At 37.4% G+C, this 12,679-nt stretch overlaps 1 protein-coding gene and 1 non-coding gene across 6 annotated transcripts in view, besides 1 other annotated feature; both read right to left on the bottom strand.

Moving 5' to 3' along the window:
- Positions 1-747: 747 nt before the first annotated feature.
- LOC124901105 (uncharacterized) lies at positions 748-3,943 on the bottom strand. Of its 2 annotated transcripts, none has more exons than XR_007058992.1 (2): positions 2,240-3,943; positions 748-1,384 (listed from the first exon to the last, which is right to left on the bottom strand). It is a non-coding gene; the product is annotated as an uncharacterized LOC124901105 (transcript). The 2 variants fall into 2 exon arrangements; XR_007058991.1 differs by having other exon boundaries at positions 748-1,387.
- Positions 748-12,679, bottom strand: part of CSNK1A1 (casein kinase 1 alpha 1) — a 58,458-nt gene continuing 46,526 nt past the window's right edge. For all 4 annotated transcript variants that reach the window (NM_001271741.2, NM_001892.6, NM_001025105.3 and 1 more), the window contains one exon: positions 748-4,626. In NM_001271741.2, coding sequence (NP_001258670.1) covers positions 4,619-4,626 — 8 coding nt within the window. In that variant the 3' untranslated portion in view covers positions 748-4,618. The remainder of the gene's footprint in view (positions 4,627-12,679) is intronic.
- Positions 6,680-7,226: an enhancer, noted in NCBI's record as "NANOG hESC enhancer chr5:148878477-148879023 (GRCh37/hg19 assembly coordinates)". NCBI's record gives its function as "activates a minimal SCP1, AML or CMV promoter by ChIP-STARR-seq in naive H9 embryonic stem cells {active_cell/tissue: H9 hESC(naive)}" and the evidence as "EXISTENCE:reporter gene assay evidence [ECO:0000049][PMID:30033119]".

The raw sequence follows: 12,679 nt of genomic DNA on the forward strand, positions 1-12,679 counted from the left end.
CCGAAAAGACTCTACAACACATCTATGTTGAAAACAGCTGCAATTTAAGAAATCTTAGTTGCCCAACCTTCCAGTCATTCTGGATTTTAAATCTTTCCAGACTGCCACCCTATTTGATATATACTTTTATGTAAGATATTTAGACACTATAAACTACTTTGAAAGGGGAAACTTAAGGTCTTATAGCACTCAAGCCTGGGCGACAGTGCGAGACCCTGTCTCAAAAAAATAAATAAATAAAGTAAGGGAATATAACTATCTTCCCTCCAACTCTGTGCTTTGGTATCCTTATATGCAAAATGGAGACAGGATGTACTTCACAGGGCGCTGATTAGGCAAATACATGTAAAGCACTTAGAATAGTGCATGACACTCAGCAAATGATGGCTAATACTATCAATCTCTGGGTTTAAAAGGGTGATATAACAAGAGGAGCACCATGGCTTAACTGCATGAAAGCAAGAAAATCAGGTTGAGGTCTTGGCTCTATAAAGCTTACCAATTACCAACATGCCTTGCCTTGGGCAGCCCCACTCTTTTCTGAAACAGTTAACTGTTTCTTATTACTGTTATGAGGAATAAAAGAGATGACATATATTAAGGATTCTGAAAACTAGTTTGCAAAATGGTGATTTTTCTAACACATAAAATCCTTTCACCTTAAATTAGCTGACATTCAAGTTAGAGCTTTCTCTTCTCTCCATTTTTAAGTCAACATGGAATCATGGTATCTTATTCAGTGAGTTGTAACGTTGCTACCAGTTTATTTTGATAATTGACACAGATTTAGCAAGTATAATCCTTCAAGTGGCTCCTGTGCCCTTTTGACATGTATCCACCTTTTTGTTGTTGTTGAGACGGAGTCTCACTGCAACGCCCAGGCTGGAGTGCAGTGGCACGATCTCAGCTCACTGCAACCTCCATCTCCCGGGTTCAAGCGATTCTTCTGCCTCAGCCTCTTGAAAAGCTGGGATTACAGGCGCCCGCCACCACACCCGGCTAATTTTTGTATTTTTAGTAGAGACAGGGTTTCACTATGTTGGCCAGGCTGGTCTTGAACTCCTGCCCACTTCGGCCTCCCAAAGTGCTGGAATCACAGGCGTGTGCCACTGCTCCTAGCCAACCACTTTTTTTTTTTTTTTTTTTTTTAGATTTCCTTTGTGGCACCATAATAGAATGTTCCAGGTTCATCTCATATTTCTCCATCCCAGGAGCCATTATTACTCTACTTTTGAGTATGTCCTCAAAACTGGTCTAACAAGTCATTTCAGAAAATAATTTCACTTCAACAATACACTGTTTGTTGATTCAACACAAACTGCATGGGCTGCTTAGATCAATTTACACTTGGTTCATCGCCATCTTTGGCTGTTTCAAACATACACTGCTAAAAAAAAAAAAAGATTGTCATTAAGAATATTACAATAGAAATGGAAGTTTTGAGGAGGAAGAAAATCCCCCAAAATGTAAGCAATGGTAATAATGCATTTAAAGTATAGTCTCACAAAGTCTCACTTAAGAGAGCAGCACACCCAGGACACACATATTGATCTGCTGACACCACTTCTTTACTATACTTCATATAGATGTCCTCACATCTTGATTTACATGGTTATAACTGCTTAAAAACTGGCAAAGAGAAAACCTAAAATAATGCTTTATACCAGTTTGAGTCAGAACCAGACTGTTCCAGACTAGTTGGAAAACGACCCAGGAACTCACCTGCATTAAATGCTGAATTTAACTGAGCTAAAAATGTCTAGGCCATCCCTTCTTAGAATTCCCATGACTCATTCTAGTCAAAAGCTATAAGAACATATTCCTTAATAGTTCAGCAAACTTTAGGGAAAACTAGCTCATTGTCTTGGGTTCTAAAGTCCTTTTGTTTGATTATTTTTATTATAATGAAATTAAACTTATGACTATTACAGTATGCTCAGCTTAAAACATTTATGAGTACTGCAAGGACTAACAGAAACAGGAAAAATCCTACTAAAAATATTTGTTGATGGGAAATCATTGTGAAAGCAAACCTCCAAATATTCATTTGTAAGCCATAAGAGGATAAGCACAACCATATGGGAGGAGATAACCAGTCTCTCCCTTCATATATATTCTTTTTTATTTCTTGTTATACCTTCCCAAAACAGAGACATTCAACAGTAGTTAGAATGGCCATCTCCCAACATTTTAAAAAAACTGCACCCCCCAATGGGTGAACAAAGTAAAGAGTAGTAACCTAGAGTTCAGCTGAGTAAGCCACTGTGGAGCCTTAAGTGGTGAGGTCTTCCAATTTCAGAGTGATGTGTCTTCAACTTGTATCATCATTTTAGCGGAAAAACATAATTTAATTTTGGTGAAATGAGATTCATCTCGTAACAGGATTAGTAACAGCATTCACTGAATTTCACACTCTTCTTTTGTGAACAGTGAAGAAAATGAATGGTAGCTAGAAGATCAATGGGATTCCAGCTCCAGCTGCAGATGGAATGACGATATACCAGGACAAAAAACACCTATATTTTGATTTACAAAGCTAACAGCAGTTTTAAATCTGCAACTTAATTACAGACCAACTACACCACAACCTTTTCAAATGGCAAAAATACAAAAAAGTGTTACAAAAATATTTCAGAAAAAGTGCATAGTCTAAGTGCATAGTAAATAAAAGCACTGAAAAATATCTTGCTAGAGGGAGTTCAGCTTGGAAGTTATTACCAAAGCTAAACATTTTTATTTTACACAAACTATACTCAAAAATAGCTTTATGAGACTGATTTCTGGCTAAAAGTATCAAAGGGTTTATTAGTCAAGAAACAAATACCTCAACCGACAAGGGTGGATAGAAAAGAAACAAAGAAGCTGCCTACCCCAGAAGTTCAGACTTAATAAAATTTCTTCAGTATTACGGTACTAATATCCCTTAATGGCAGAATGTGATAATCATGGAATTAATTATTGCTAAAGTAGTTTTCAAATAAAAAAAAGAAAAAAGAAAACAAAACAAATTAAACTTGACACAATCTGACCAAACACGTGTCAATTTACAATTTCAAGGTTATTTTACAAAATACCTACATTTACACAATAGGCTCCCGGCAGCATTTCCAGACAAATGTTCTTTTAATTTATCCTGACATGCTATAAATGAATAAATTACACTATTTAAAAATTATCATCAGTAAGTTTTCCTTTCTCATGGGTCAGAGAAAAAGAAATGAGCGTGCAAAGAAGATTGAGAGGAAGCGCACGCACACAGATAACTTAAAGAAGCAGGAGGGGCTGGGGAGGGTCAACAATCACTGAACCTCACACAGTGTGATGCTCTCCAAGGGTGAAAGTCAACTGCTTATAGCCATTTCAAAAGTATTTTAAAGAAAAATGTTTTGTAGGGAAACCCTTTAATGCTTTCATTTTTATTCAAAATCAGTCCAGCTGCTAGTCAGCGGGCAGCAGCTACAATACCAAGTTCTGGCAGTTGCAGTACTAGATATTGTGCCTGCAAGTCATAAAAAAAAAAAAAAAAAAAGAAAAAAATGAAAGAATGCCTTTCCCCTTCAGACAAAAGAATTACTTTTTTCATTTTTCTTAAAAAAAGAGGAAAAGTTATAACACGAAACCTAAATTGACTTGCAAAGGAATACCATGTAACAAATGGCTTGAAGTAGTCTATCAAAAAATTGGGGAGATTTTTATTTAATAGTGAGTCAGCAAGGCATTTTTTGTTGTTTAAAAAAAATCTCATTTCCTTACAGAAACAGTTTTTAGTTTTTAATGAACTTGTAAACAAAAAAGCTCCCATTTCAAAATAAAAACAAAATCCCAGATCATATAGATGTTTACAGTGATTACATTTATCTAAGCAACATACATACATGTTCAGTTGTAAGATGTTAACTAAATTTCTGTGACAAATATGCTTTTTTTTTAATACCAAGAACATTATAGAGTTAATGCAGAGTCCTAAGGATAATCTAGTAGTCACTAAGTTTTTCTTAAGTCTTCACTTTAGATGCTGTTATTTCTAGCACAATTAAGCAGGCAGAGTCTTTCATATGCTCAAACACTGGAATCTTTGGTTGCTACCATATCAGCTGGCTTGCAGACAAGAAGCCAACCATTTTAAGAATGTTTTAAGTGAACAACTTGCAAACCCCAGGGATGGAAAAACCCTAAGAATGCACAATTGTGAGCATTTAACAACCATCACAACTGTGGCTGAAGACTGTTCATGCCGTTCTTCTGAAATGAGATCTCAAAGCAGTATAGTTCAAAACAAAAGGTTTTAACAAAAAATTGGCATATGCACAATTTCTCCACCAATTTTTGTGTGTCAACCATTTAGTTAACTTTTCCACTTGAAAAAATGCAATAGAAAACCGGACACCATGTTTCACTATCTCAGTTAATATTCACAATTACAGAGGCTACAACTCAGGATACAGCATCACCAATGCTGCCCAGAGTCAGTTTATACTGAAATTAAGTTCTTTACACCAAGTAAATGGTTGTCCACAACCACTGGCTAGTGTACATATGAACTAAAATTTCTAGATTTGGGGAGAAACAAATGCTGCTCCGATCATCTGCTCTGCTTCTTCTGTTCCTCAATTCATGCTTAGAAACCTGGTAAAAAATCAAAACAAAAAAAAAGTTAAAATTCCAAGTCAAAAATTTTAAATTACACCCAAAATATGGAAATTGGGTGGAACTGAGCCAATAATTATAGTGGCTCATGTTATTTCGTCTCTTGTGAAAAGTATTAGCTCAACTTTTTAAAACAGAAAAACATGAATCTATACTTAAAACTAATTTTTTCTGTTTTGAATGACTCTAGGAAGGAGTGGTACAGTGAATTCAAAGCCTCTCAGCATACTAAAATAATTATTAGTAATTCAAATGAGCATGTTTCTGCATTTTTACATATGCAGAACATATTAGGCATTCACATATTTATCAAATCAATGAAAAACAGATTGCTTTGCTTTAACTAAAGAATACAATTTTAATCCTACCATAGGCACAAATTATTTCTGACACAAATTAAAACGGTTAGCTTTAATAATAAATGCATTCAAAGCATAATTATCTGTATTATTTTACTAAACAAAGACCTGAGAAGCATGTAATTTCTGTAGAGAAACCTTAGACCTTTAAAACTTCTTTACCGGCCGCATTAGAAAGATTGTTTTGTGACTCATTTAAAAATGTAAGCAAGTGATGCTTTTTTGGCTTTATTTACTTCTCAAGCCTACACATTCTACAAATACTTCCCTCCTCCACCACAAGTAGACCCTAGGGCCTCTACATAGGCCCTAGGCCAAGTTTGAATACAAGAAGCCTCAGGTCATAACCACACTTTATCTACAGCTAAAGGCAAAGGGAGAAAATATGCCTGTCCCACAGCAATAGCCTGAAAATCTCTTAAGCACCGTTTTTCCTCTCACCAGACACCCACTCTGAGGCACCAATGCTCCTTTGTCTACCTCCTTACAAATGAGCTAGAAACTATAGCTCATTCTAGCCCACTCCAATCAATCCTCACTTCTTCAGCCCAGGTCATGTTTTCTTCAATCATAAACTGCTCCTTTTCTTTTAGTTCTTTTTTCTTTTTTTTTGGAGACAGTCTCGCTCTGTCACCCAGGCTGGAGGGCAGTGGCATGATCTTGGCTCACCGCAACCTCTGCCTCCTGGGTTCAAGCGATTCTCCTGCCTCAGCCTCCTGAGTAGCTGGGACTATAGGTGCCTGCCACCATGCCTGGCTAATTTTTGTATTTATAGTAGAGACACAGTTTCACTGTGTTGGCCAGGCTGGTCTCAAACTCCTGACCTCGTGATCCACCCGCCATGGCCTCCCAAAGTGTGGGGGTTACAGGTGGGAGCCACCGTGCCCAGCTTCTTTTACTTTTTAAACATTTGTTGGGCCATCTCCCATGGGCTTTGTGGGAGAAACAAAATAATTCTAATATTTATTTCTTATGCATATATGCCCCTTTTTTTTTTTGGGAAATAATAGCGAACATACAAGAGAGTAGGTGCATAATAGATCTTTGTTGCCTGGGTACTAAGTCCATAAGCACCAAATGCCAAAAATGAAAGATAACATAACTTTGAGAATATACTTCACCATAGGGAATATCATTTGATGCATGTTATTAAGAAGTATTAGCGAGGTAAACCTTTCTTTTAAAGGTTGTCAAACCAAACCTTAATAAAAATCTGACTATACCCTGTGACCAAATTTCAATTTTAAAATACAGGAAAAGTTTCAAGCTTCTTGTTTGGGAGTTTAAAAAAGAAAAAAAGTACAATACAGGATAAGCTATGCAGGTTAAGAAACTAAGGATTAAACAGAAATTAAACAGATTAAACAGGATTAAACAGAATTCCCCCATCAGGATTTGGTTTCAAGTCTTGCAATTCTTCTTAAACATGATTTAAAAAACGTATTTTCACAACTACTAAAATTGCTGGGTTTTATCATAGTTTTCTTATGTAATCATATTAAACTAATTGTTATGGTGAATATACCAAATGGCTTTCAAAGGGAAAACCACCATCACTAACAAACTAAAATGGAAACATGCTACATTGTCAGTCAAAATACAAGGAAACTCTTGTGCCTTTAATAGCAAGAAAACTTCAGAATGTATCTGTACATCTTTTGACCTGTTATCTGAGGAATTGCTGAGTCAATAAATGATTACAATTGTTTAGAAACTGGTAAAAGGCTACCCTAACAATATTCCTGGTAGAATAGAGCAGTCAAATCCAGCTTTAACTCTTCAAATGGGTCAATGGTATGACATTCCAGCCAGGGATCAACATTTCTCCAGTGAATTGTCCTAAGATGTTACTGAAGTATGTTTAGGAAAAAACCTCAATAGGAATATTCAACAGGTATTCAACAGTCTTGCAGTACTAAGCATTCTTTTCCCCAATACGCATTGGTCTTTGGTTTTTATCTTGCAGATTAGGTGGCTCATCCAGGCTTCCAAGAGTTCAAGAACCCATCTTCACTGTAACATCAGTTAAAATGAGGAATGAATCCCTTTATTCCTTAAAAAAAAAGGGGAGGGGGAGGGGGGAGTTAAAACAGAGTTGGAGGATGTGATGATTAAGAAGTTAATAGCTTAATTAAATTTCAAATCTGCAAAAAGCAAAAAAAAGTTTATTTTTATATAACTAACAAGGATATTCTATCCCTGCCCGCCACCCAATCTGAAATCTAAAATGTATGCTCTGGCCCAGACGAGGTGGCTCACATCTATAATGCTAACACTTTGGGAGGCTGAGGCAGGAAGATCACTTAAAGCCAGGAGTTCCAAATAAACCTGGGCAACATAGTGAGACTTTGTCTATTAAAAAAATAAACAAAAGATATGCTTTTTTTTTTTTGAGATGGGGTCTTGCTGTTATGTTGCCCAGGCTGGACTTAAAACTCCTGGGCTCAGGAGATCCTACCACCTCAGCCTCCCCACAAAGTGTGTATCTGTTCTTATTCGTAAATTAATTTCAACAGTTTTCGACTTTTTAAATAGAACCAGAAACTAGTTCAAAGGGATATTTACGTAGCAGTAAGGCTTGTAAGTTTGTGATGGGCTTTTGATATTTAGGATCCCTTCAAGCTACAAGACAACTTTTTAAAAGTTATTTTGAATATATTAATTATGCTATGTCATTTATACTAACTTTTCCTATAACATGGTTGTGGGGTTTTTTTTCTTTTTTTCTTTTTTTTTTTTTTTTTTTGAGACGGAGTCTCGCTCTGTCACCCAGGCTGGAGTACAATGGCGCGATCTCCGCCCACTACAAGCTCCGTCTCCTGGGTTCACGCCATTCTCCTGCCTCAGCCTCTCAAGTAGCTGGGACTACAGGCACCCGCCACTACGCCCAGCTAATTTTTTTTTTTTTTTTTTTTGAGATGGAGTCTTGCTCTGTCGCCCAGGCTGGAGTGCAGTGGCGCGATCTTGGCTCACTGCAAGCTCCGCCTCCTGGGTTCACGCCATTCTCCTGCCTCAGCCTCCCAAGTAGCTGGGACTATAGGCGCCCGCCACCACGCCCGGCTAATTTTTTGTATTTTTAGTACAGACGGGGTTTCACCATGTTAGCCAAGATGGTCTGGATATCCTGACCTTGTGATCCGCCCGCCTCGGCCTCCCAAACTGCTGGGATTACAGGCATGAGCCACCGCGCCCGGCCCCAGCTACTTTTTTGTATTTTTAGTAAAGACAGGGTTTCACTGTGTCAGCCAGGATGGTCTCAATCTCCTGACCTCACGATCTGCCCGCCTCAGCCTCCCAAAGTGCTGGGATTACAGAAGCGAGCCACCGCACCCGGCCTTTTTTTTTCTTTTCTTTTTAAAATTATTTAAAATAGCGATGAGGTCTCCCTATGTTGTCCGGATGGTTCTCAAAATCCTGAGATCAAGTGATCTTCCCATCTAGCCTCAAAAATGCTGGGATTATAGGAGTGAGCCACAGTGCCTGGCTGCTTGTGTGGTTCTGTTTGTTGCACAGAATTAAGCTTGGAGAATTTTAAATCAGATTGGCAGTATCTAAAGTTAAAGAATAATTAAAAAAAAAAAACCTGTAATAACTCTTCCTTCCCTATAGAAACTAAAAGAGTATTTAAAGTTGGGAAAGATAAATGACAATTTTAAGTATAGGAGGTATACACTATTCCTAAACTGCATTAAAAAACAGACTGAATTGTTTTGTCTTCCTTATAACAGAATTCATTCTGCTACACATTTCTGACGTTCTGGAGTTTTAAAATACCTGTTTATAATTGATTCTTTCCCCAGCTGGTAGATGGTCTGCATTCAACACCACTGAGTCATAGCAACGCTGTATTCTTCTAGGTCTTCTAACAGTTGTGCTATCATCCAGATGATCTAACAAGTTGCAGAATTTGAAGGTCCAGCAGTCTTGGAGACATGGACTCCAGATGACCACAAACCAACTCTTGCACTTTCATCCGCATTTCCTGTTGGGTTATTTAGATCTTTCCAGCTTTACTGTCCACAGTAAAAAAAAAAGCTGACAAAAATTCAAGATTTCAGCAAGAAGATGCGGTTCCCTGGTACTTCTTAGAATTGAGTGTATTCAGAGCAGTGTGTTCAGACTGTCCAGGTATTTCAAAATCTTCCCCTGTGATGTGGGTGTGCTGCTGAGTGACCAGCACATTCCTAGCAGCAATTGGTGAACTCAGAAAAAGTCAAACTAGACATAAACGGTAGATGCAGCCCAGTAAAACTGGAAGGTAATTCAAGGAAGACTGTGGACATGGTAGGTCAATATGATAGAAAAATAATATTTGTAATCCCCTCTGAATGTCAATACTTTGAGAGCTGTCTATATTATTATGATAAAACTCTGCTTAGTAACTATGGTTAGGGTAGTAAACAGATGGGTTAAGATGATGAGAGTACAGAATAGTAGAATTATCCAAGAATCCACCTTTGGGTTCACTACCTTCTGAAATTCTCCCCCACCTCTGCCTGCCCTCAATTAAAGAAACACTGAACTTCATTAGATTTTGAATGTCCTAAAAATATTTCATTTTCCTTTACTTATTTTTAATATCTTGAAAAATACTTTTTTGATAATCACATATAGTCAAAGGGAGTGAAATAAATTTCGAAGTGTGTTGGGTGTGAATCTTATGTATTTTTCTTGGGAACATGAATAAAAACAGTAATTATAATCTTGTAGTAATTGAACATTAAAAACTAGTATAGATAATAAGTGGCATAAAGAGAAGTCTTTTGATGGATATTGGAATGGAGTATTTGAAAAGATCTAAAGAATATAAGGAAGGCAGAAGTCTGCCTATTATTTAATAGGCCCACATTAGCTAGATAAGCCAGACTTAAAGAATCTTTAAACATTCTTATTAAGTTATTAAAACAACACCATTTTTACTGAAGAAATATCAGATATATTTTTCAAAAATTACCATATAAAACATTAGTAAATGCTACCATTTTGGGGATTTTCCTACATTAGAGATTTACTTGCTTAAAATACACTTATGAAACTTAGTTCAATAATACTAAATCCTCTGAAAATTTAACTCTGTGAAGAGTAATATAAAAAGCACCTTCTAAAAATTCCTTGTTGTGACACAGGGTCTCATCTGTTGCCCAGGCTGGAGTGCAGTGGCATGATCACAGCTCTCATTGCAGCCTCAACCTCCAGGGCTCAGGTGATACTCCCACCTCAGCCTCCCAACACAGCTGGGATCACAGGCACTCACTACTGCGCCTGGCGCTTTTTTTTTTTGGGGGGGGGGGGGTTGGGGACGATGTTGGAGGGAGCTGGGACAGGGTCTTACTATGTGGCCCAGGCAAGTCTAGAACTCCTAGGGTCAAGCAATTCTCCCACCTCAGCCTCCCAAATGTGTTGGAATAACAGGCATGAGCCACTGCGCCTGTCCTAAAGTTTTTAACAAGAAAACCCCAGTAGGATGTTTTCATCATTATTAAAACGATTTATTATTGGGATCAATGAATCATTGAGCTGTATGAGTTCCTTTTTTTTTTTTTTTTGAGACAGAGTCTCACTCTGTCACCCAGGCTGGAGTGCAGCGGCACAATCTTGGCTCACTGCAACCTCCACCTCCCAGGTTCAAGCAATTCTCCTGCCTCAGCCTCCCAAATAGCTGGGACCATAGGTGCACGCCACCACACCTGGCTAATTTTTGTATTTTTTGTAGAGATGGGTTTCCACCATGTTGGCCAGACTCTCGAACTCCTGGCCTCAAGTGATCTGCTTGCCTCAGCCTCTCAAAGTGCTGGGATAACAGGCGTGAGCCACTGCACCCAGCTGAGTTATTCCTTAAATAAAGAACCACTATAGTGGACCTTAAGAGACTATGCTTTTAAATGCCCTTGTTACTTAGAGACTGGAAGCAGGAATAACATAGAGCAATTGTTTTCAAACTCCAGAATTCCTAGGAGATTTCTTAAAGGATAACTTGCTGGGCTGGGGGTAGAAGTTAGGGGAATATGTTCCTCATGCTTATTTCATGCCTAAGGCCCGAAGGCCAGCTACATTTTCATGGTTTATGAGAGTTTCATGTAAGATTTGTCTTGAGCACAAAGTTTTGTATTAAAAAAGAAAAACAGATGTTTTCAAGATGTCAAAGAGCAAAAAGAAGTCTGTGTTCTGTGAAATGGCACTTTTCAGTAGCAATACAGATGTACTGCCTTGGAAGTGTATTTCTAAAAAGCAGTCAATGACATGTGATGTGTTTTATGAAAAGCCTAATTTTTCAAGTCCATGTTTATGTGATAATTTGTATGACCATTGTCTCTAATGTCACTATAAAATTTTTAAAAGATTTTAAGTTGCTTTTACAAAAAATAGCTACAATACAAAATAAGGATTAAACAAGTTTAATTACAGTTCTTTCCCCCGCCCCAATGAAACTAACTCAGTGGATCCAACTTCTCATCTTTAAGACATGGATAGGGCAGGACACAAATTCTGCTTGTTTATTGAATAAGAGACACACAGTAAACTAACAAAGAAACTAACTTAAAATAAGGTAATTCTTTCTGAAATCTGCTGAATGCCTGAAGTAAAATGTTCTAGGTCAGAAGAGATTTCAATCTAATTTTAGTTATAGAAACTGCAACTTGTGATGATCCTATTATCCCAGCTAGCTTTCGGCAAAATTGGTTTCATTTTGTGAGAAAAAGCAAATATACTATAGGTTGTCAGGTGTAACAAGTCCTTGGGTTAGAGACTCTGTTTGGTCTTACCTAAAATGGTAGGACTGTTTTTCAGTGACATTAGCTACATAACACATTATGAACTTCTTGGCACTATGATTAGTTATACGATGATTAAAACACTCAAAAGGAGCAACTATCCCAACTGAGATGCAGAGGCAGAGCACTGTGTGAACATTAGGGTTTGCTATCCTGAGTTTACATGTCACCATCTGAAAAACCCAACGACAATAAACCTTCAACTTTGAATCCTTCCCAAATACAAAAACATGGAATAGAAGCATCTCAACTTCATTCCTAACAGATGAGCTGCTGGGATGAGGATGACATCAGTTAATAATATTTCTTGAAAAGTATCTTCAGATTAGAATCTATTTTTAAATTATAAAATAGTTTAAATACAACACTAAAAATGTGAAGCAAAGATTAATCTATAAAGGCCAAGTTCAGACTAGGGCAGTATTCAGAAATTTAAAAATTAGAAACCAAGAGCCAAATCTTACTTGCCCACTACTTCCAGAAAGTAAGCAGGTATCAGGAGGTAAGCCCCAGAAATGGGAAAAGAAAGACAAAACATGAAAATGGGAGTTAAACTGTATAGCAACAGTGTGCCCTAACAGTTCTACTCCTTACAGGCAGTAAGAGTGCCAAAGAAAAGTAGAAAGGAAATAAGACTAGCGGTTTCAATGGCATTTGCCCCAGTTACCTTCAATTTGCAAGGCCTGGCTGCAGACTTCAATTCCACATTAAACCCTGGGAGCCTGATATTTGCAACATTGTGAAAAATCAAGCCAAAAACAAAGAAATCGTTTTGAAATTAAGATCATACGTAAACTGCAAATAAAAGAATTATTTTTGTGACTAGAAAAGATGTGCTGAGCTTTGCATTTATTTGAGCATTTAAGAGAGAAAATGAGATGCTCTGCAACTGAGAAGATA

The sequence above is a fragment of the Homo sapiens genome, chromosome 5, assembly GCF_000001405.40.
Source record: "Homo sapiens chromosome 5, GRCh38.p14 Primary Assembly".
Taxonomy (NCBI): Eukaryota; Metazoa; Chordata; class Mammalia; order Primates; family Hominidae; genus Homo; species Homo sapiens.